Consider the following 25,186-nt stretch of genomic DNA (forward strand, 5'->3'; position numbering starts at 1 on the left):
GATTTATCTTCTTCCTTGGGAACATCAATTATTCTTAGGTTTGATCTTTTAACATAATGCCAAACTTCTTGAAGGCTTTGTTCATTTGTTTTAATCTTTTTTTTCTTTGTCAGATTGGGTTAATTCAAAAGACTTGTCTTCAAGCTCTGAAGTTCTTTCATCTACTTGTTTTATTCTGTTGAGACTTTCCTGTGTATTTTGCATTTCTCTGTGTCCTTCATTTCCAGAAGTTATGATTGTTTTTTATTTATGCTGTCTATTTCTCTGGAGACTTTTCCATCCATATCCTGTATCATTTTTTTGATTTCTCTAAGCTGGTATTCACCTTTCTCTGGTGCCTCCTTGAGTAACTTAATAATTAACATTGTGAATTCTTTCTCTGGCAACTCAGAGATTTCTTCTGGGTTTGGAGGCGTTCCTGGTGAGCCAGTGTGATCTTTTGGGAGTGTTTTGTCATAATACCAGGATTGTTTTTCTGGTTCCTTTTCATTTGGGTAGACTATGTCAGAGGGAAGATCTGGGGCTCAAGGGCTGCTGTTGAGATTCTTTTGTCCCACAGGGTGCTCCCTTGATGTGGTGCTCTCCCACTTCCCCTAGGGATGGGGCTTTCTGGGAGCTGAACTGCAGTGATAGTTATTTCTCTTCTGGGTTTAGCCATCCAGTGGAGCTACTGGGCTTCTGGCTGGTACTGAGGAGAGGCTGTGAAGAGTCTTGTGATGTGATTTGTCTTCAGGTCTCTCAGCCATGAATACCAGTACCTGCTCTGGTGGCAGTAGAAGGGGAGTGAAGTGGACTCTGTGAGGGTCCTTGGTTGTAGTTTTGTTTAGTGTGCTGGTTTTGTGTTTGTTGACCTCCAGCCAGGAGGTGGCACTTTCAAGGATCATCAGGTGTGGTAGTATAGGGAGTATACAAGCTTGCCCTAGGGTCACCTGGATAAGTATTGGGGTTTCTCAGGCAGTGGGCAGGGCCACAGATCTCCCAAGAGATTATGTCCTTTGTCTTCAGCTACCAGGGCCGGTAGAGAAAGACCATCAGGTGGGTGCAGGGTTAGGCGTGTCTGAGCTCAGACTCTCCTTGGGTGGGGCTTGCTGGGACTGCTATAGGGGATTGGGTGTAGTTCTCAGGCCAACAAAGTTATATTCCCAGGGGGATTATGGCTGCCTCTGCTATGTCATACAAGTTGCCATGGAAGTGGGGAAAGCTGGCAGTGACAGGCTTCACCCAGCTCCCATGCAGCCCGAAAGGCCAGTCTCACTCCCACCATGCCCCACCAATAGCACCAAGTTTATTTGCAGGCAGCCAGTGAGCAGGGCTGAGAACTTGGCCCAGGCTACAAGCCTCCCAGCTGAGAAAGCAAGCAGCGCTTTCAGGTTTCACACCTCCCCACCTGTCGTGGCTTCTGTGCTCCTATCTGCACTCCCTGTTAACCCCCCTCCCCAGGATTCTGTCCAGGAAACTTCATATCCAGTCAAAATTGTTACAAAGTTCATTTGGAAATTTCCTACTCCTTGTGGTCTTTCCCCAATTCCACTGGCAGCTCTCTCCAAGGACCCCTGTAAGACAAAGTCAGAAATGGCTTCCCCAGGAACTGAGAGCCAACAGGGCTCTTCCCACTACTACATCTACCCCTACATTTTTCTCAGCTCTCTAAATTAATCTCAGCTCCTGGTAAGGTCAAATCCTTCTCCTGTGATCTAGACCTTCAGGTTCCCCAGTGAGGATGTGCATTTGGGAGCAGATTCTCACCCTCTCACACTTTGGGCACTCCCAGTTTTTTGGCTGTTCTCATGGCACCTGCAGTGGCAAGCTGCTTCCTTGAAAGGGTCTGCGGATTCTCTGGCCTTTCCTGGTATGTTCCTGTGGTAGTTCTTGGAGCAGAAAATCACAATGTGAGTCTTCACATGCTGCTCTGTACATCTGAGTGGAAGCTGCAAGTTAGTTTTGTCTCCTATCTGCCATTTTTCCCCTCAGGATTATTAGAATTTCGAAGCTTGGAGGAGAGGCCACAAGGAGCTGAGACTCAGAGCTCTGCAGGGAGTGGGAGGTGCCAGTTGCTGCTAGGATCTCTGAGAGGGCACAATAAGGCAGCCTCTGAAGTGTGGGAAAAGCAAATTGCAAACTAGGACCAACTACTGACAATGGAACCAGCTGCACTGCCAGGTTGAAAAGCCTAAATAACCTTCATATATAACATTTCTTCCATGACCCCATCATTGGCTTAGTTCCGTTTCACTATATGTCAACCCAAGCAATATAGATTTAAATAGGTCCACTTTGCCCTGGCACTTGGCTTTGTGGGAGAGAGAAGAGGAGGGGTGAGAATGAATTTGAGATGATGTTAAGACATTTGGGAACCTAAAAGCACCTTAAAGGTTATTTCATTCGAACATAAATGAACCTTTAAAATCATCAAATATTCTCACTTGCAAATTAGAAAACTGAGACCAGAGAACCCTACTGAAACCTAGAGTTCTCCTTCAGAGTCATGAATCTGTGTAACTAACCTTCACAGTAACAACACCAGGATTTTTTTAAAATTTTTCCACAAAACTGATCTTAGCCTTGATAAGTTTCAGAGGCTTTACAGTTACATCCTCAAGATACTTTACTTTGGGTTCAGTTACAGACCACTGCAATAAAGCATATACTGCAATAAAGCGAGTCACACAATATTTTTTGTTTCCCAATACATGTAAAAGTTATGTTTACACTATATTGTAATCCACTAAGTGTGCAACACCAATACATCTAAAAGAAAACACATACATGCCTTAATTTAAAAATACTTTATTGCTAAAAAATGCTAACAATTATCTGAGCCTTAAGCAAGTCTAATCTTTTTGCTGGTGGAGGGTCTTGCCTTCATGTTGATGGTTGCTGAATATTGGAAAGATTCTGGCAGTTTTTAAAAGACAACAACAATGAAGTTTGCTGCATCGATTGATTCATCTCATGAAAGAGTCCTCTGTAGCATGTGATGCTGTTTGGTAACATTTTACTCACAGTTGAACTTCTTTCAAAATTGGTGTCAATCCTCTCAAACCCTGCCACTGCTTTATTAATTAAGTTTATATAATATTCTAAATCCTTTGTCATCATTTCAACACTGTTCACAGCAACTTCACCAAGAGTAGATTCCATCTCAAGAAACCACTTTCTTTGCTCATCCGTAAAAAGCAACTCCTCATCCATTCAAGTTTTATTATGATATTGCAGCAATTCAGTCACATCTTCAGGCTTTACTTCTCATACTAGTTCTCTTGTTATTTCTACCACATCTGCAGTGACTTCCTCAACACTGAAGTTTTGAACCCCTCAAAGTCATCCATGAGGGCTAGAATCAACCTCTCCCAAATTCCTGTTCATGTTGGTATTTTGACCTCCTCCCATGAATCATGAATGTCCTTAATGGCATCTAGAATGATGAATCCTTTCCAGAACATTTTCTATTTACTTTTCCCAGATCCATTTTAGAAATTACTATCCATGGCAGCTATAGCATTATGAAATTTGTTTCTTAAAGAGTAAGACTTGAAAGTTGAAATCACTCCTTGATCCATGGGCTGCAGAATGGATGTTATGTTCGCAGAAATGAAAATAAGAATCTCCTTATACATCTCCATCAGAAGTCTTGGGTAGACAGGTGCATTGTCAATAACCAGTAATATTTTGAAAGAAGGCTTTTTCTCTGAGCAGTAGGTAACAAAATAGTGATCTTAAAATGTTCTGTAAACCATGCTATAAACAGATGTGCTGTCATCCAGGCTTTGTTCTTCCATTTATAGAGCACAGGCAGATTAGATGTAACGTAATTCTTAAGGGACCCAGGATTGTTGGAACTAGAGATGACCATTGGCTTCACTTTAAAGTCACCAGGTGCATTATCCCCTAACAAGAGAGTCAGCCTGTCCTTTGAAGCTTTGAAGCCAGGTATTGACTTCTCTCTAGTTATCAAGCTCCTAGATAGCATCTTCTTCCAATAGAAGAGTGTTTCATCTACACTGAAAATCTCTTGTGTTTAACATAGCCACCATCATCAGTGATCTTAGCCAGATTTTCTGGATAACTTGCTGCTTTAACTTGCACTTTTATGTAAGAGAGACTGTTTCTTTCCTAAAACCTTATGAACCAACCTCTGCTAGCTTCCAACTTTTCCTCTGCAGCTTCCTCACGTCTCTCAGCCTTCATAGAATTGAAGAGAGGTAGTAGGGCTTGCTCTGGATTAGGCACTAGATTAAGGGAATGTTATAGCAGGTTTGATCTTCTAACCAGACCACTAAAACTTTCTTCGTATCAGCAATGAGACTATTTTACTTCTTATCAATTTTTTTGTGTTCACTGGTGTAGCTCTTCTAATGTTCTTCAAGAGCTTTTTCTTTGCATTCACAACTTGGCTGTTTGGAGCAAGAGACCTGTCTTGGCTTTTGACATACCTTCCCCACTAAGCTTAATCATTTCTAGCTTCTGATTTAAAGTGAAAGATGTACAACTTTTTCTTTGTCTTGAACACTTAGATGCCACTGTAGGATTATTAATTAGCCTAATTTTAATATTGCTGCATCTCAGGGGATAGGGAGGTGGCCCCAGGAGAGGAAGCAAGATGGGCAAATGGCCATTCAGATGAGCAGTCAGAATACAAACATTTATCAATTAAGTTCATCTTTTTATATGAGCATGGTTCATGGTACCCCAAAACAATTACAATAGTAACATCAAAGATCACTGATCACACATAACCGTAACAGATAATAATGAAAAGTTTTGAAAATTTTACACAGAGACATAAAGTATGCACACACTGTTAGAAAATCATGCCAGTAGATTTGCTTAGCACAGGGTTGCCACAAACCTTCAATTTGTAACAAATGCAGGATCCATGAAGTGCAATAAAGCAAAGTACAATAAAGTGAGGTATGCCTGTATTATGAAGGCAGCTTCTCAAAGGCCTGTTAGTTGCTTCTCCTGGGTCTTGAGTTCCAAGAACTCCACATCCATGGCAGGCCTGCCCTTCGAAGCATCTCTACCCTATTCTCATCTGCACGAGGAATAGCAGGCTGGGAGGCCCTGGGAACAAGACCAAGACCCAAGGCTCAGATGGGCCAAGAGAGGTTTCCTGGCTACTCACTATGGCCTCTGATTCCAAGGAGGAGGGAGGAATTTGGATGTGATTTTTGTGCAAATATTCCTCTTATTTAGTATTCCTCTTATTTAGCTGACTAAGGTTTCTAGCTCCCAGATAAGTTCTTCAGCCATAGTGACCAACCTAGGGGCTGCTACCACTCCTTTTTCTGCCTAAATACTCTCTCAGAAAATCCTAAGGCAGTTGGGAAAATGAGGACTATGAGAAAATATGAAAGATTCCCTGACAAATGTGCTTAGGAGTAGTAAGGTTCATATTTACCGACTAAAATCTCATCAGCCTCACCAGGGCTGACCAAACAGGATTCATGGAGCCAGCACCTTGATAGCATATGGCCCTTTTTTTTTCCTTCAAAGTAGATGTGATAGGGAGACACGCATTTGCCTATTTCAGTCAGGCTAAAAAGCTTTATTTGTTTCAGCTGCAGTTTCAAAAGTATATTTGCCTTCATACACATATAGTTTTCCTGGCTTTTATTGGAAAATGGAACGAGCATTTTACTCCAGGCTACAATTAGGGTTGGAGGGTATAGGTGCCCGGATCCCAGGAGATCCCCAGTGGACTGACTTCTCTCCCCAAGGCCATTTCTACACTCATTTCAGAACAGGAGTGCAGTGACACCACCATGGACCTCGTGGCATGTAGATGCCTAGATGCCGCCAGGAGCTTGTGGTGAGACTGCTTCTCCTGAGTACCTTGAATAAGGTGATACAGGGCCAGGCAAGGTGGCTCACACCTGTAATCCCAGCACTTTGGGAAGCTGAGGAGGGAGGATCACTTGAGGCCAGGAGTTCAAGACCAGCCTGGGCAACATAGCAAGACTCCATCTCTACTAAAAAAATTAATTAGCTGTGTGTGGTGGCACATGCCTGTAATCCTAGCTATTTGGGAGGCTGAGGTGGGAGGATCACTTGAGCCCAGGAGTTCAAGATTGCAGTGAGCTATGATTGCACCATTACACTCCAACCTGAGCAACAGAATGAGAGCCTGCCTCAAAAAAAAAAAAAAAAAAAGAGGATATAGGTCAGGTAAGAGCTGGGTCAGCACACAAGTAGCAGCTCTGTCCTATTCCAGGCCTTCAATCCATTGGCCAAGTGGAAAAGCTGGAAGATACCTCTCCCTAAATGTATCAGTTAGCTATCACCTCACACATACACATGCTGCATTTTAAAAAGCCCAAACTTGGTGACTTAAAACAACAATCAATTGTTCTTACTGATCTTACTTAGTTCAGCTGATCTAAGCTGGGTTTGGCTGGAGTGACTTGACTGTTCTCCACATTTCTCTCATCTTCCTCTTGGGATCATCAGGCCAGTCCCGGCATGACTTTCTAATATAATGGCAAAGGCACAACAGCACAAGCAAAAGCTCCCAAGATCTCTTGTGGTCTAGGTTTGGAACTGGTACATTATCATCTCTGCCTCAGTTTTTTATTGTGGTAAGAGATACATAAAATTTACAATTTCAACTCTTTTTAAGTGCACAGTTTGATGCCATTGCATACATCTACCTTGTTGTGCAGCTATCATCACTGTCTCCAGAATTTTTTCATCAACTGAAACTCTGCACTCCTCCTCCCTCCCTTCTCCCAGCCTCTGGTAGCCACTATTCCACTTTCTGTTTCTATGAATTTGGCTGCTCCAGGTACCTCATATAAGTGGAATCATACAATATTTGTCCTTTTATATCTGACTTCCTTCATTTAGCATAATGTTTTCAAGGCTCATCCATGTTGTAGCATATGTCAGAATGTCATTCCTTAAGGCTGTATAATATTCCATCATACATATATACCACATTTTGTTTATCTACCCATTGATTATTGGATATTTGAGTGGTTTAAATCTTTTGGGTATTATGAATAATGCTGCTATGAACATAGGTGTACAAATATCTTTTAAAGTTCCTGCTTTCAATTCTTTTGAATATATACCCTAAAGTGGAATTGCTGGAGCATATGATAATCCTATATTTAATTTTTTGAGGGGCCACCATACTGTTTTCCACAACAGCTGTTCCATTTTATATTCCCACTAGCAATGCACAAGGGTTCCAATTTTTTCACATATTTGCAAACATTTATATTTTGGGTTTCTTTTAATAATAGCCATCCTGGTGGGTATGCAGTGGTAACTCATGGTGGCTTTAATTTGCATTTTCCTAATGATTAATTGAGCATCTTTTCATGTGTTTATTGGCCATTCATGTATCTCTTTTGGAGAAATGTCTGCTCAAGTCCTTTGCTTATTTGGGCATTTGCCTGAACCGGGTTGTTTGTTAGTTATCAAATTTTAAGAGTTCTTTTTATATTCTGGATATTAATCTCATCAGATCTATGATTTGCAAATATTTTCTCTCATTCTGTGAGTTGCTTTTTCACTCACTTGATGGTGTCTTATGATGTGTCAAAGATTTAAATTTTGATGGAATCCACTTTATTTTTTCATTTGTTGCCTATATTTTAGTGTCATATCTAAGAAATCATTGCCAAACCCAATGTCATTAAAGTTTTCCCCTGCGATTTTTTTTAAGAGTTTTATGCTTTCAGCTCTTAGGTTTAGGTCTTTCATCCATTTTGAGTTAATTTTTATATATAGTGTAAGTCATTTGTTCACATATGGATATCCATTTTCCCAGAACCATTTGTTGGCAAGACTGTCCTTTCCCCATTGAATGGTCTTAGCAACCTTGTCAAAAATCATTTGACTACATATTTAAAAGTCTGTTTCCGGTCTCTATTCTGTTCTTTTGTTCTCTGTGTCTGTTTTATGCCAGTACAGTACTGTTTTGATTACTATCACTTTGTATTAAGTTTTGAAATCAGGAACTATGAATCCTCTTTGTTCTTCTTTTTCAAGGTTGTTTAGTTATTCTGGGTTTTTGATATTCCATATAAATTTTAGCATGAGATTCTCTATTTGCAAAATATATCATTGGGATTTGATGGGGATTGCATTCAATCTGTAGATCACTATGAGTAGTATTGACATCCTAACAGTATTAAGTCTCCTAATCCGTAAACATGAGATGTCCTCCCATGAATTTATATCTTCTTTAATTTGTTTCAGCCGTATTTTGTCGTTTTCAGTGTTCAAGATTTTTGTCTCTCAGTCCATTTTGTGCTGCTATAACAGAATACCTGAGACTAGGTAATTTATAATGAACAGAAATTTAGTGGCTCACAGTCCTCCTTTGCATCCTCCAAAAGGGAGGAAAGCTTTGTCTTCACATGCTCTTCAAAAGCACAAAGAGACAAATAAGGGCTGAATTCACCCTTTTATAATGGCATTAATCCAACCCATGAGGACAGAGCCCTCATGGCCTGATCACCTCTTACTACTGTTACAATAGCAATTAAATTTCAACAGGAGTTTTGGAGGAGACAAATATCTGAACCATAGTAGCCTCCTTGGTTAAGTTTATTCCTAAGTATTTTCTTCTTTTTGATGCTGTTGTGAGTGAACTTGTTTTTCTTTTCTGATTGTTATTGTAACATCTGTCTCATTTTTGTCATCTAAATAACTCACATGGCCAAAGCCAAGAGGGGGAAGTATAACCGCTTTCTCATGGGAGGGCACTGTCAAGTGGCATGGGCTAGTCAGCGGATACATGAAGGAGTGAAGAATTGGATCATATAACACTACATCCCATACTGAGCTTCCAGGGGTCCATTTTTAGGTTATCTTTTTAGAACCCTCCCTTCCAAATAGTCTGCTCCTACCCTCTCACTACTACCTCAGGAAAAACAAAAATGAAGGGGAAAAAAATAAGTGAGCAAAGAAACGAAGGAGGTAGCAAGGTGCCCAGCTGAACAAGTAGCAGGTATGGGGGAAAGAACACGGTCCAGGCGTCGGATAGAAGGCCTGCCGCACAATCTCAGGAAGGTCTCCTAACCTCTCTAGGCCTCTGTTTCTTCCTCTAGTGGTGAACTAGATGATTTCTAGGGATTCCCAATCTTGTGTAAATTTTAACAGTTCTATCTCTGGATTCAAAAACAAGAAATGCTAGGCCAGGTGTGGTGGCTCACTTCTGTAATCCTTGCACTTTGAGAGGCTGAGGCGAGCAGATCACTTGAGGCCAGGAGTTCAAGAACAGCCTGGCCAACATGGTGAAACCTTGTCTCTACTTAAAAATATGTATGTGTATATATACATGTGAGTGTGTATGTGTATATATATATATATATATATATATATATATATATATATATATATACACACACATACATATACATACATACAAGTATATACATACATACACACACACAGAAATTATCTGGACATGGTGGTGCACACCTGTAATTGTAGCTACTTGGGAGTTGGAGGTTGCTGTGAGCTACGATTGCACCACTGCACTCCAGCTTGGGTGACCGAGCGAGACCCTGTCAACAAAGAAATGAAACATTAGAAAAAATCCCTTCTCTCTATAGTTGCATAGGCACCCACACATCCACAGAGGGTAGCCGCCTGTCTTAGTCCAGTCAGGCTGATATAACAGACATATAAAAACTAGTGGCTTATAAACAAACAAAACAAATTTGTTTTTTACAGTTCTGGAGTCTGGCAAGTCCCAGATCAGTGCAGCCGCAGATTTGATATCGGTGAGGGCTTGCTGTCTGCTTCATAGATGGCAGCTTCTCATTGTGTCCCACATGGTGGAAGGGCCAAGGCAGCTCTCTCCAGGGCCTCTTTTATGGGGACACTAATCTCATTCGTGAGGACAGAGCCCATGTGACAGAATCACCTCCCAAAGGCCCCACCCTCTGATACCATCACCTTGGTGATTAGAATTCAATATGAATCTAGGGGGTATACACAAACCCTCAGACTATAGCACCATCTTTGTGTCTCGTATCTCATCATCTCCTGCCTTGCATCTGCAGTTTTATGAGTGTACTTTCTAAAAATCTTATACCAGCTGAGATCTCCCTAGAAGAGGGAAGATAGTCTTAATTATCTTAACTGTCCCCAGAGCAGTAGGTACCAAACAGATGTTTTTCTAAGTGAACTGAGGGGGAAAAAAATCTATAGATTCTTTAATTTTCAATGACTTACTGCATTTTACACTTCCAAAGAAATTCTCTGTGGAAGGTAAGTTGCTGGGGCACAACAGCAAATTCAGCAAGTACCCTGACCTTCAAGGAATTTCTCTCACAACTGCAACCTGTTTATCTTACCGATTCTATGCTACAAAGTCTTGGGTAGACATTTGAGTTTATTATATCAAAATATGTTTGATGGCTCTGTAGATGTGTATAATATTGTACATGTCCAGTGCAGGCTTGGCAAAAGCCTTCAGAAGACAAAGCCTTATGCAGAAAAAAGATCCATGTCTAAAATTGCTTTCCTAGTCTCTGATTGGAAAAATCTCATAACAAGTAAAATGAGGGAATATGATACTTTTACCAAATCAAGTTTGTTTCTTAACTATTACTATATAGTATGGTATTTTTTCCCAACATATCGTATTTGAAGAAGGAATTTCTGTCAGAAAAAAATCACTATAAGAACTACTTACCTTGAAAAAACTGTTCAATGAATGAAGATTAATTGTATCTTTTTTTAAAGTTAGTATAGGGACATAAACAGAAAGAAACAGGTACTTTTGTTATCCAGTAATTTTACTTAATTGAATGAATCATAGTCACCCTCCTAGAAATTCAGAGAATAAAAACATCTCCTGTTTGCTCAGGAATGGCAAATGTAATAAAAATGCCACAGACAAGGCCACATTGTGTGTACAATTTCTAGAGCCACACAGACAGTAAACCAGTGCACCAGCAATGTGTTCCTTATGGCTTTACTAAGGCTTACTTCTTTTCCTCTCCTTCTAGGCTGCCCCATCAAAGGTCACCCTGTCCCTAATATCACCTGGTTTCATGGTGGTCAGCCAATTGTCACTGCCACAGGACTGACGCATCACATCTTGGCAGCTGGACAGATCCTTCAAGTTGCAAACCTTAGCGGTGGGTCTCAAGGGGAATTCAGCTGCCTTGCTCAGAATGAGGCAGGGGTGCTCATGCAGAAGGCATCTTTAGTGATCCAAGGTAAGAAACCCTGCAGACTTTGCATACTGGACTTGAACAAGAAAGCCCACTTGGGAATCTAACTATCTAGCAGAACAAAGAGATTTCTGATCTCCAGTGGTACTCAAGGCATGAAAACCAAAGCCATGCCATGTTTCCATACAGTGAGACCCTACTTCTGTCAACATGGCCCTTCAGAAGAGCCATCATGCCCCATCCCAGCAGAACCTGGAAAAGCCAGTGCTGCCTTCATAAATAGGCCCTTCTGCTTTTAATGCTGCTGTTGCTCAGGACCATGGAAACACCACTATATATCAAAGTCAGATGTGATTCTTTTATGCTGATTTAACTAGTACAGATCTCACACACACAGAGTAGCCTGTTTGGTTACTGCCTCCTGCCTGGAGAGACAGGCCTGATGCCAGTGCCTGCTGATCATTCTGAAGAGTCTTCAGCTTTAGTCATAAGCTGAGGGCTTTCCAGGCACCTTTCATTTGGCCCTGGCAAAGAACAGACTGCGAAGCCCACATGGCTCATGCATTAACCTTCCAGGAAAACAGGCAGGTCAGAAAGCCTTTGGGTGGGGCCTGGCCTTCACTGCACCAAGAAAGAGTTGTAAATGAGGCCCAATCAGTGGGAAAGAGGGAAACTGGCCTTCTTATAGTGTTTTCCATAGGCTTGTTCGACCTGTGGCCTATGTGTGATGTATTCCAAAATGAAGGATGTGATGGGAAGGGACAGAGTTTTGTGCCAATACGGCACAAAAAGATGAAGAAAGGAGGGAAATTTTTCTAAGCAGTTAAGTTTTCTTCTTAAATATCCTCCTTCACCATTTGGCTTTTCAGACAGGAAAACAAATGTTTTCAGACAAGAAAACAAATTTTCTTGGAGCCAGCTAGCCTCTGCTGAAAACCAGAAGCCAGGGCCTATTTGCAAGACTTGTAATATGCAACTTTGCAAATAAGCACTCAAAATTTACCATCTCACCTATCAGTGAGTCCCAGACCCCCAAAGCAACTGGCTTTCTTACTGACATCATTGTCTCATGTAAATAAGCACTCTCTGCATAGGCTCTTTTGGGTAACATTTGCAAAGTCCAGCTCAAATCTGTACTGTGATGGTTAAATATTTGCTATATTTATATATCTTTGTAGAAAACAAAGTCACTTTCTGGTGAACCAATGAGGAAAAAAAAGTACTGTAGCCAATATCTTTAAAAATAAGATGACCTGTGGCATTAATTGTGCACTCTTTTATGTCAGACACTGAGCTACTTTACTTTCATTATTTCCTGTCCCCACAATAACTTGGTGAGGTGAGGTTCACTGTATTCATTTCATGGCTGAGGCCCCTAGAGACCACGTGACTTCCCCAAATAGTTCGGGAATGGTTCCCTGCGAGGAGCAGGGCCTCATTTATAATAGCTCCTCTCCTTCAGGCCACAAATCCACCCCTGTCACCTTCTCCCTGCCCTGCTCAGAAGGAATTCAGAGTGTGGGCAATTATGCTATATTCTTTTCTACACTGCTCCTCCTCCCATGACAGATTACTGGTGGTCTGTGGACAGACTGGCAACCTGCTCAGCCTCCTGTGGTAACCGGGGGGTTCAGCAGCCCCGCTTGAGGTGCCTGCTGAACAGCACGGAGGTCAACCCTGCCCACTGCGCAGGGAAGGTTCGCCCTGCGGTGCAGCCCATCGCGTGCAACCGGAGAGACTGCCCTTCTCGGTGAGTGCAGCGGACACTGGCTCAGACCTCCCCACCCTAGGAGGAGCCCTCCCTGTTAGCGAAGTCAGTGGCCAGCCCTTCAGTAGCACTGTGCAGGGAGAGATGCCAGCCAAGGAGCTGTTCTTCCCTCTAGGCACAGGCTTATCAGGCCTCTCCACCTTGCTGAAAATATCCTCAGACTATGCCACCTCTCTCAGCTTTGTTTATTCCTCACCCCACTAATGGCCAGCCAGGTTTCCCAAGTCCCTAACGGGGTCTGTTCAGGGAGCAAGAGCTTCCCAGGCCCTGGCAAGCCATAGACGCCCCCCATCCTACAGTAATCAACTGACTCTGAGTTGTTTGTAGAAAGCAATGTCTTTTCAATCGAAGGGCTGAGGAAACAACGATTACTGGGTTCTGCCCACCCTCCAAGTCTAACCTTAAATACCCATGCTAATCAGTACTCCAGTTCAGTTGGGGAAATCTTATCTTCCTCTTTTCTACAAAGGCTTGCGTCTCACTAAAGTTGGAATAAATCTCTGTTTCTGACAGTAGCCTCATGCTCTGCATTTGGGTCCCTTGTGTGGCCCAGAGTGACACCTAAAGCCTCTGCCACCTTCCTTATGCTTCAAGAGGCTATGAGTCCCCCTGTGCACCTCATCCTCTGTCCTCAGCAGTAGTTAAATGGATAATAGATGGGCTTGGAGTTGGCACTGGTGCAGTGCTGAGAGCCTGGGGGGATGTGGCTCAGCTCTCAAATGCCCCTTTACTACCTATCTGTAGGACTTTCATACAATACTTAGGCAACTGCTTTCTGTTTTGCCAGCTGAGTCATAAGGAGCAGCTGAAACCAGGAGAGATTCGATGAAATATGAAACATGCTCATTAATATCAGCAGTTTGACTTGCTGACGGGAAGGTTTCCACAGGAATGATTAATGTCCTTTTATACCCTTCCTGAACTGTAACATAGCCTGGCCCGCTCCTTTCTCAAACCCCCCCCACCCCAGCTCCTGAAAAATTGCTGAAACGTATATTTGGAAATAAAAGTTGATGGAAATGCAGGCCTGACATTCACCAGGGATATAAGAGGCTGGAAAACTGCCCTTGCCAAGCTGTGCAAAATGAAGAAGAGATCTTTGATGTGCCAGGAACTTTCTGACTTGATTTGGTGATGGTCAGAGTCAATCAGCTTAATTTACTTCTGCAAATGAAATAATGGCTCTGTTTTCTTGGATTTCAATGCCCCCGGGAGTTTTTAAACACCTCTTGCCTGCTTCCTAAGTGGCTCTGCTCCTGTGGGTTGGAAATCTGCGTTCAGTCATCCCTCCACAAGGCAAAAGAGCAGGGAAGTGGCCACAAAACTAAGTAAGTCACAGTCCAGATTTAGGAGGAATTTGCTCCCCTTCCCTGCTACATGCCTCTCCTGAAAGCCAGATGTGGCGCCGCTTGGCTAGGACGAAGCCATAGGTTCACCTTTGACCCGTTTGCCTGCCAGGCATTTGGAACACTTAGTATCCTTCTTTGCATGTGAACAAGTGTTGCCCTGGTTGTCTCTTTGAGATACAACTGGGTAACCCCGCTGTGACCCAGGTAGCTGTTTTTTAACCGTTTTGTTAGATAAATTTTCTCCATCACTAAAACCAAAGAGTGGGATTTTTTTGTTCTAGATTACATGAGCAACAGTCTCGCGATTTCCCCAAGCTCTCTCCTTCTCTTTGAGAATTACCACAGGGTGCACACATGCAACAAGAATCCCTGCCTGTTTGTATATGGACCGAGGATTTCCGAGTGTTCCTAGTTTACAGGTGGGCTTTGTGAGAAAAGTCCATCGGTCACAGTCTCACTTTTGGAACCTAACATTCAGAGAACAACTATTTCTACCATGTATGCAGCCCTCTGAGAGGTATAAGACCTATGGACTGTCACGCGGTCACGCCAAGAGATGGAACTTTACCTGTTTCTGAGAGATTGACCAAAATGTGCAGCAGGAAGTATACCGAGCACTACCAGACAAAACCTTGACTTCAGTGAGGCCCAGATTACTTTCCAGGTCAGGAGGTGACACGAATTTGGATCTGACTTCCCTAGAACAACTGTCTCTCCTGTCACATGCTTGGATCTCCTTTAGGAAGTACCAACACTGCAGTTACAAAACAACAAATTTATTCTCTTACAAGTTTGAAGGCCAAAAGTCCAAGATCAAGGTATCTATCAATCAGGAGGATCACATCACCTCCAAATCACCTCCAAAGGTTCTAGGAGAGAATCCACTTCTGGTGGCCCCAGGTGGCTTATGGCCACATCACTCCACATTCAGCCTTCATGGTCACATTGTCTCCTCCTCCACCTCTCTGTATGAACACTTGTTATGGCAGGCATTTAGGGCCCAGCCAGATAATCCAAGATAATCTTATCTCAAGTCCATAATTACATCTGGAAAGAACCTTGCCACATAGCATTCACAGGCACTAGGGATTTGACATGGATATCTTTTGGAGGAGTCATTTTTCAGCCTATCAATCATCTTTCCAAGTAAATACTGTAAAAAGGGCCTTGGCCCCAAATTAGTGGCAAGAGCAGGGATGTCGGTGGGGAGGAGGTCTCTTTTCCCCAGGGCCTGTCCCTTTAGGGCTCTCCTGACACTTCTTCCTCTCCCCAGGTGGATGGTGACCTCCTGGTCTGCCTGTACCCGGAGCTGTGGGGGAGGTGTCCAGACCCGCAGGGTGACCTGTCAAAAGCTGAAAGCCTCTGGGATCTCCACCCCTGTGTCCAATGACATGTGCACCCAGGTCGCCAAGCGGCCTGTGGACACCCAGGCCTGTAACCAGCAGCTGTGTGTGGAGTGGGCCTTCTCCAGCTGGGGCCAGGTGAGGAGCCAGAGAGGTTGTTATTTGAAAGCTAAATCTAAAGGAATGGACCCTGCCACAGTAGGAAGTGAAATGCTATCACTGCCACTGCCACCTCCTCCTTTCACATTCTGATTGGCCAGGCATAGCTTTTGTGGGTTGTCCAGCTGAGACACCCCCAGAGCAGCAGGCTTTTAATTCTTTGTGTAATTCTATGAACCAATGTGATTGAATGAATGTTTTTAGGCAGTCAGCAACTCAAAACATCTTATAATTGGCCATCTATACATTATTACATTTATGTCCTCCACTCCCACCCCCAGGTGTGTCCTTTGGAAAACAATCACCGGCGACTTTCTATTAAGTTAACACACTGTGGCCACCTTTAATGAAAATCAAATGTTTTTGGCCATAGAGTTCACGTTCCATCTCGTAAGCCATTTGTGTCCCAGGTAAGTTGAAGCTACCGCTCAATGCTAGCCAATCAACATACCTAGCTGGAGACTCCTTTCTGGAGCTTCTACTAACCCCTCCTTATTTCCAGTGACATAATGTATATGCTTCATAATCAAACAGGCATGAGCTCCCTTTGCCAGGGGGAATATCGTCTTTCTCCTACCTGGAAAAGCCTGCTTCTCATAGGTCACATTCATCTCAAGACAGCTCTGGTTCCAGGCCCTCGAGGCTTATTGGCAGTTTGTAAAATTACAATAGCAAACAGATCCGGCTACAAATGACAGATGTTTCTGCACTGTGTCATCAAGGTCACTCAAGGAGGGACGTATGGTGCACCAGTGATTATGTTTCCTAACAGAGAGAAAAATACATAGGTCTTGCTCCCTTTCTGCATTCCTTCCCCTCAAAAAATTCACCCCCTCCTCCTCTTTTCTACAACCCTCCAGGCCAGTACGTGTCGAGCTTTAATGTGAATCACCTGGGAATCTTATTAAAGATGCAAATTCTAATATGGTAGGTCTGAGGTAGAACTGGGGATGCTGAATTTCTCAAAACTTCTGGTAACATCAGTGCTGCTAGTCCAAGGGCTACGCTTGAAAGAGTAGCAAGGCTTGAGGCATTACAGATTGCAGACAAATACTTCATCTCACAATCCTGTTGATGTTTTTCTGCTGATAATATTGCTGATATTGTGCTTCAAACTGTAGATGCTTCTCAAACCTCCACATTCCACTCCTGTGAGACACAAAAAAATCCTTTTGGAATAGTGTTATGCAAATGTTTTTTCTTCTGCCTACCTTCATGAAGTCTATGAAAACCATGCTGATTTTAGTCCAAGTAAAACTAAGACCACCTTCTTAGCTCCAACAATCTGGCTTCATGTAATAATTCAGCTTTCTCCTTTTAATCCAACATACATTTATGGGACACCTGTCTTGGGAGGGGAATGTGTCCCATATAAGCATGTGTGAAGAAATGAAGGGAAAAGCAGCCCACAATATTTGCAGGAGAATGAGGTGACAGAATAGAAATAGAAATGTGGCCTGGAAAGCAGGTGCAAGACCATAAAAGGGTCTTGTATGCTGTACAAAGAATTTGGATTTTATTGTAAGTGCAACTACAAAGATTTTTAAGAAGGAATGGCACAATCAGACTTTTAAGATTACTGTCTGGCCAGGCACAACGGCTCATGCCGGTAATCTCAGCTACTCAGGAGGCTGAGGCAGAAGGATCACTTAAGAGGTTGAAGCTGCAACGAGCTGTGATCATACCACTTTCACTACTCCAGCCTGGGTGACAGAGCAAAACCTTGTCTTTTTTTTTTTTTTTTGAAAAAGGTATGCTGTCTGCAGTATAGTGATCAAATTGGCAAGTGAAAGGACTACAGAAAGAGAAACCTAATCTAGGTGAGCAATTATGGTGATGAGAATGAAGGTATTGAGCAGTACCAATGGAGAGGAATCCATTTCCTCTTTATAAGCGTGATTCGCATGGCTTCCATGATCCATTGGATATGAGGGATGAGAGAAAGGAAGGAAGTCAAAATTTGACTGGAGGTTCTGAATTGAACAACTAGATAGGAATACAGAAAAAAAAGAGGGTGGATTGTTGCTATATGGAATTGTTTGGGACATGTTTAGTATGAGATATCTAAGTACAGATGCTCATTAAGTAGTTGCACATATAGGTCTGGGACTTAAAAGAGAGCTATGCTAAACACTATCAATTTGAAAGTCATTAGTATACAAGTGGTGGCTAAGAATCATAGATGGTATCACCCAGAGAGAGGGAAAGGATCAGATTAAGAAAAGGCACAGGACAGAACCCTGAGGAACACAACACTAATTAAACTGGGGGAAAAAGAGGAAAAAGATTAACCTAATGAGTAGGAAAATTCACAGAGACCAGTGGAGGAGCTTTTTCCAGAAGGAAGGAAGTCAATGGTATAAAAATACATCCAACAGAATAAACAAAATACAAATTAAGCATTGGCCTTATTTTATACATACGGTGCATATTCAAACTTGACTGACAGGCAGTTACCTGTAACTCTGTGAATGGCAGTTTCAGTGTAAAAGTAGGCACTGAAATCAAACCAGCAATAGGTTTAGTTACAAATGAGAGTGGAGGAAATAAGTGCTTCCAGGGACACATTACTCCTTCAAGAATTCCCAGTGTAGTCAAGGGACATTAGCAAAATGGCAAATTAGGACACTCCAAGTCCATGTTCTCTTATAGAAGCATCAAAAAAACAACTAGACACTGGCTAAACTAACCTTATAAGTGCTCTGGAAAACAGCCCAAGTTCTACAGCAACCAAGCAAACAGCCAATAAAGAAACAGCCATCTTTAAGATGATAGGAAATTTCCTGGTATTTTCGTTCATCCTTGCCCCACCCCCTCCCCCCAATGTGGCATGGTTTTGATCTTAACAACGTGGCAGCCACTACTTGTGAAATCTGCAGAAGGAACACAGACCTGCAGACACCTGGGAAAAGAGATTATGGGTGGAGACTGACCCTCTATGCAACTGACGCTCTAAAGTCCCAAGGACAGCCTTGAGTGAGACTCTGGGAAATTAAGACACTCAAAAGCAGCTATGTATATGGAGAAGGCCCATACACACCACATAAAAGAAAGATCTGAGAAGACCTTACGCTTTCACCTCAGACTGATTACTATGCTCAGAGTATACCCAGCTAATCAGTGATGGATTGCCCAATCACAGAGCCAGTCTACAGAGAGTAGGAGAAATGGCTATTTTTCAAATGCCCAATTTTCAGCAATAAAATCACAAGCCATACAAAGAAATGGGAAAATATGGCCCATTTTAAGGAAGAAAATAAACATAGGCATTGAACATTAAAGACAAACACTTTAAAACAACTATCTTAAATATGCTAAATTGGGAGCTGAAAGTACTAGAACTGAATTGAAAATTTTACTGGCGGGATTCAACAGCAGATTTCGCAGGCAGCAGAAAGAATTTTCAAACTTGAAGATAGATAGGCCAATAAAAATAGAAGAAAATAAACAAACAGAGTCTAAAAGAGTTGTGAGACACCCTCAAGTGAACCAACATATACATTTTGAGAGTCTCAGAAGAAGAAAGGAGTTGAAAGATTATTTGCAGAAATAATGGCCAAAAACTTTCCAAATTTGATGAAAGACATGAATCTACAAATCCAAGAAGCTAAACAAACTCTAAGTTGAAAAAGCCAAAGGGACCCACACTAAGATTAAAATCAGTCTTAAGAAACAAAGAGGGAATCTTGAAAGCAGCAAGAAAAGCAACTCATTGTGTACAAGAAATTCTCAATAACTTTATAAACTGATTTCTCAGCAGAAACCTTGCAGGACAGAAGGCAGTGGAATTATGTATTTGAAGTGCAGAAAGAGGGGGAGGGGCCAAGATGGCTGATTAGAAGCAGCTGCAGTCCACAGCTCTCACAGAGAGGAATGAAAATGGGGAGTCAATTTGGCACCTTCATCTGAAATATCCAGGTTCTCTCATTGGGACTGACTAGGCAATCAACTTGACCCATGGAGAATGAAGAAAAGCTGGGTAGGCCACTGGCCCACCTGGGAGCAGCACAGAGCCAAAAAACCTTCACCCCCCAGCCAAGGGAAGTGGTAAGTGATTGCACAACCCCACCCAGGAAACCACACTTCTCCTACATATCTTTGCAATCAGTGGATCAGGAGATCCCCTAGTGAGCCAATGCAACCAAGGCCTTGGGTTTGACACACAGAGCTGTGCAGTCTCAGCAGAGCAGTTGCTCAGGCTCACACAGAGACCCAGGAGTCTTTCAGACTCAGGCCCTGGGAATCCCAGCAGACAAGCAGCATCATTCTGCAGGCCCCACTTAACATGGCACCTCAGAAGTTAAGACCCACTGGCTTGGAATTCCAGCTGCCTGCCGAGTGCATCAGGCTGGAGACTGCCTGAGACAGATTAGTTCCTGGGGGAGGGGTAGCCACCATTTCTGTGCTTAGGTCAACCCAGCTGTTCTAGCCTGCCAGTTCCAGTGAGTCCTGGCAGCCCAGGTGAGGAGAAGTCCCTCACAACACACCTGCTGTGCCAGATAGTGGCCAGAATGATTGTTTAAGTGGGACCCTGATCCATCTGGCCTCCCTGCGGGAATTTCAGCAACTCCAACCTGGGTTATACTAACAGATGTCTGATCTCTCCCTGGGACAGAGCCCCCGGGGGAAGGGGCAGTGAGTCTCTGCCCTTGAGTTACTCAGCCTTCCCAGGACTGCCAGGAGAGTCCAGGCAGTCTGGACAAGGAAGGGTTCCCCACAACACAGCACAGCTGTTCTACCAAAAAAACAGCCAGACTGATTCTTTAACTGGGTTCCTGATCCCATCCCTCCTGACTGGGTGAGACCTCCCAACAGGGGTCTCCAGACACCTCCTACAGGAGCATCTGGGCCAGCAACAGGTCAGTACCCACCTGGGACAGAGCTCCTAGAGGAAGGGGCAGGCTGCCATCTTTGCTGTTTTGCAGACTTCACTGGTGATACATCCAGGTAAGGGGAAAACCTAGGCAACTAGGGCCTGGAGTGATCCCCCAGCAAACTGCAGCAGCCCTACAGAAGAGTGGCCTATTAAATAGAAAACAATAACAACATCATCAACGAAAAAGACCCCACAAAATCTCCATTCAAAGGTCAGCAACCTCAACAAAGGTAGATAAGCCCACAAAGATGAGAAAGAATTAACAAAAATGCTGAAAACTCAAAAAGCCAGAGTGCCTCTTCTCCTCTAAATGAATCCAACACTTCTCCTGCAAGGGCACAGAAGTGGGCTGAGGCTGAGATGGTTGAATTGACATAAGTTGGCTTCAGACGGTGGATAGTAGGCTGGGTGTGGTGGCTCACATCTGTAATTCCAGCATTTTGGGAGGCCGACGCAGGTGGATCACAAGGTCAGGAGTTTGAGACCAGCCTGGCCAATATGGTAAAACCCCATCTCTACTAAAAATATCAAAAAAAAAAAAAAAAGTTAGCCAGGCATTGTGGCGGGCACCTGTAGCCCCAACTACTCGGGAGGCTGAGGCAGGAGAATCACTTGAACCCAGGAAGCAGAGGTTGCAGTGAGCTGAGATCATGCCACTGCATTCCAGCCTGGGTGACAGAGCGAGACTCCGTCTCAAAAAAAGAAGGTGGGTAATAACAAACTTCGCTGAGCTAAAGGAGCATGTTGTAACCCAATGCAAAGAAGCCGAGAATCACAATAAAACAGTAGAGGAGCTGGTAACCAGAATAGCCAGTTTAGAGGAGGAGCACAATGACCTGATGGAGCTGGAAAACACAACACGAGAAATTCACAATGCAATCACAAGTATCAATAGCGGAATAGACCATGCAGAAGAAAGAACCTCAGAACTTGATGACTATCTTTCTGAAATAAGACAGGCAGACAAGAATAGAGAAAAAAGAATGGAAAGGAACCAACAAGACCTCTGAGAAATATGGGACTATGTAAAAAGACCAAACCTATGACTGATTGGGGTACTTGAAAGAGACAGGGAGAACAGAACCAAGTTGGAAAATCCAGCACCACATCAAAAAGCTTATCCACCATGATCAAGTTGGCTTCATCCCTGGGATATAAGGTTGGGTCAATAAATGTCATTCCTCACATAAGAAGAACTAAAGACAAAAAACACAAGTATCTCAATAGACACAGGAAAGCCCTTTAATAAAATTCAACATCACCTTCATCTTAAAATCTCTCCAACTAGATATTGAAGGAACACACCTCAAAATAATAAGAGCCATATTTGACAAATCAGCAGTTGCTATTATAGAGAATGGCAAAAAGCTGAGAGCATTCCCCTTGAAAACCAGCACAAGACAAGGATGCCCTCTCTCACCACTCCTAGGCAATGTAGTATTGGAAGTTCTCGCCAGGGCAATCAGGCAAGAGAAAGAAAGCAAGCATATTCAAATAGAGAGGAAGTCAAATTATCTTTGTTTGCAGATGATATGACCCTTTATCTACAAAATCCCATCGTCTCAGCCCAAAAGTTTCTTAAGCTGATAAGCAACTTCAGCAAAGTCCCAGGATACAAAATTAATGTGCAAAAATTGCTGGCATTCCTATACACCAACAACAGGCAAGCAGAGAGCCAAATCATGAATGAACTCCCATTCACAATTGCTACAAAAAGAATAAAATACCTAGGAATACAGCAAACAAGGGAAGTGAGGGACCTCTTCAAGGAGATCTACAAACCACTGCTCGAGGAAATCAGAGAGGACACAAACAAATGGAGAAACATTTCATGCTCATTGATAGGAAAAATCAGTATCATGAAAATGGCCATACTGCCCAAAGGAGTTTATAGATTCAATGCTATTCCCATTAAACTACCATTGACATTCATCACAGAATTAGAAAAAACTATTTTAAAATTCATATGAAACTGAAAAAGAGCCCGAGTAGTCAAGACAATCCTAAGCATAAAGGACAGAGCTGGAGGCATCACACTACCTGACTGCAAACTATACTACAGTAACAAAAATAGGAGGGTACCGGTATAAGAACAGACATATAGACCAATGAAACCGAATAGAGAACTCAGAAATAAGATCACATACCTACAACCATCTGATCTTTGACAAACCTGACAAAAACGAGTAATGGAGAAAGGACTCCCTACTTAATAGATGGTGCTTGGATAACTGGCTAGCTGTATGCAGAAAATTGATACTGGACTCCTTCCACACACCTTATACAAAAATTAACTCAAGATGGATTAAAGACTTAAATGTAAAACCCCAAACTATAAAAACCCTAGAAGAAAATCGAGGCAATACCATTCAGAACATAGGCATAGGCAAAGATTTCATGATGTAGATGCCAAAAGCAATTGCAACAAAAGCAAAAATTGACAAATGAGTTCTAACTAAACTAAAGAGCTTCTGCTCATCAAAAGAAACTATCATTAGAGAGAACAGACAACCTACAGAATAGGAGAAAAATTTTGCAATCTATCCATCTGACAAAGGTCTAAATCCAGTCAAGAGGAACTTAAAAAAATTTACAAGAAAATAACTCCATTAAAAAGCAAGCAAAGGACATGAACAGACAGTTCTCAAAAGAAGACATTCATGTGGCCAACAGTCATATGAAAAAAAGCTCAACATCACTGATCATTAGAGAAATGCAAATCAAAACCACAATGAGATAACATCTCATGCCAGTCAGAATGGCGATTATGAAAAAGTCAAGAAACAGATGCTGGTGAGGTTGCAGAGAAAAAGGAACACTTTCACACTGTTGGTGAGAATATAAATTAGTACAACCATTGTGGAAGACAGTATGGTGATTCATCAAAGATCTAGAGGCAGAAATACCATTTGACCCAGCAATCCCATTACTGGGTATACACCTAAAGGAATACAAATCATTCTATTACAAAGATACATGCATATGTATGTTTACTGCAGCACTACTCACAATAGCAAAGGCATGGAATCAACCCAAATGCCCATCAAGGGTAGACTGGATAAAGGAAATGTGGTACATAAAACCATAATACTATGCAGCCATAAAAAGGAACAAGATCATGTCCTTTGCAAGGACATGGATAGAGCTGAAAGCGTTATCCTCAGCAAACTAACCCAGGAACAGAAAACCAAACACCGTATATTTCCACTTATAAGTGAGAACTGAATGATGAGAACACATGGACACACTGGGGGGAAACAACACACACTGGGGCCTATTGGCGGTGGGGGTGGGGGTGGGAGGAGGGAGAGCATCAAGACAAACAGCTAAAGGATTCTGGGCTTGATACCCAGCTGATGGGATGGTCTGTGCAGCAAACCACCATGGCACAAATCTGCACATGTACTCCAGAACTTAAAGGTTGAAGGAAAAGAAAGAACTATCAAAGACTTGGTAATGTAAAAATATAAGGACAGCCAAAAACAAAAGAGAGTCTGGTGCCTCCCTCCCGTCTCTTACCATGTGACAAGCCAGCTCCTCTTGCCTTCCTCTATGATTGTAAGCTTCCTGAGGCCTCACCACAAGCAGTTGCTGGTGCCATGCTTCTTATACTGCCTGTAAGACCATGAGCCAAATAAGCCCTTTTTCTTTATTTAAAAAAAAAAAAGAAAAATTATAAAGTACAGAAAGAAAAAACTATTAACCAAGAATTATCTGGCAAAACTGTCCTTCAAAAATGAGGGGGAAGTTATGACATTCCAGGGAGCTTGTTGCCACTATTCCTGATTACAAGACATATTAAATGGAGTCCTTTGAGTTATAATAAAAAGATGCTAGTTAACTCCAAGCCACCTGAACATATAAAGACTCTCCAATAAAGGTAAATAGACGGGCAGACATTAAAACCAGTATTATTTTGTTTCATAGCTCCACTTTTTATTTTCTATAGGATTTCAAAGAAATGCATAAGAAGTAATTATAAATCTGTTAGTGAATATACAGCATATAGATATAATTCTCAAACCAATAATGTAAAGTGGGGATGGGAAACAGAGTGGTATACATGTAGAGTTTTGTATGAAATTGATATCAAAATTCAAATTAGATTGTTATAACTTTGGGATATTATATGTAATCCCCATGGTAACAACAAAGAAAATATGTATAGCCAAAGAAGAATGAGAAAGGAAGCAAAATTTGTCACTATAAAAAAACAACTAATCACAAAAGACAACATAAGTGGAGGGAATTACAGGGGAAAGCTATAAGATGTACATAAAAACAAATAATAAAATGGCAAAAGTAAGTTCTTCCCTATCAGTAATTACTTTAAAGGAATCAAACCCCCAAAGGCATAGATTGGCCTAGTAGATGTTAAAAATAAAAAAGACATGATTCAACTCTATGCTGTCTACAGAATACTTGCTTGAGATCTAAAGAAAAAATTAGGTTGAAAGTGAAGGAATGGAAAAAGTTATTCCATGTAAATAAAAACCAAAAGCTGAGGTAGCTATACTAAATCAAACAACATAGACTATACAGTGATAAAA

The 25,186-nt window shown here is 42.2% G+C and overlaps 1 protein-coding gene and 1 long non-coding RNA gene across 14 annotated transcripts in view; one reads left to right on the forward strand and one right to left on the reverse strand.

The window, feature by feature from the left end:
* Positions 1–25,186, forward strand: part of ADAMTSL1 (ADAMTS like 1) — a 1,004,318-nt gene that overhangs the window by 970,225 nt on the left and 8,907 nt on the right. For all 12 annotated transcript variants that reach the window (XM_011518064.4, XM_017015312.3, XM_011518063.3 and 9 more), the window contains 3 exons: positions 10,974–11,186; positions 12,711–12,891; positions 15,532–15,739. In XM_011518064.4, the coding sequence (XP_011516366.1) occupies positions 10,974–11,186; positions 12,711–12,891; positions 15,532–15,739 (602 nt within the window). The remainder of the gene's footprint in view (positions 1–10,973; positions 11,187–12,710; positions 12,892–15,531; positions 15,740–25,186) is intronic.
* Positions 15,723–24,262, reverse strand: LOC105375985 (uncharacterized). Of its 2 annotated transcripts, XR_007061427.1 has the most exons (4): positions 24,156–24,262; positions 20,632–20,782; positions 16,653–16,909; positions 15,723–16,525 (listed from the first exon to the last, which is right to left on the reverse strand). It is a non-coding gene; the product is annotated as an uncharacterized LOC105375985 (long non-coding RNA). The 2 variants fall into 2 exon arrangements; XR_007061428.1 differs by lacking the exon at positions 20,632–20,782 and having other exon boundaries at positions 24,156–24,259.

This window comes from Homo sapiens, chromosome 9, assembly GCF_000001405.40.
Source record: "Homo sapiens chromosome 9, GRCh38.p14 Primary Assembly".
Lineage (NCBI taxonomy): Eukaryota > Metazoa > Chordata > Mammalia > Primates > Hominidae > Homo > Homo sapiens.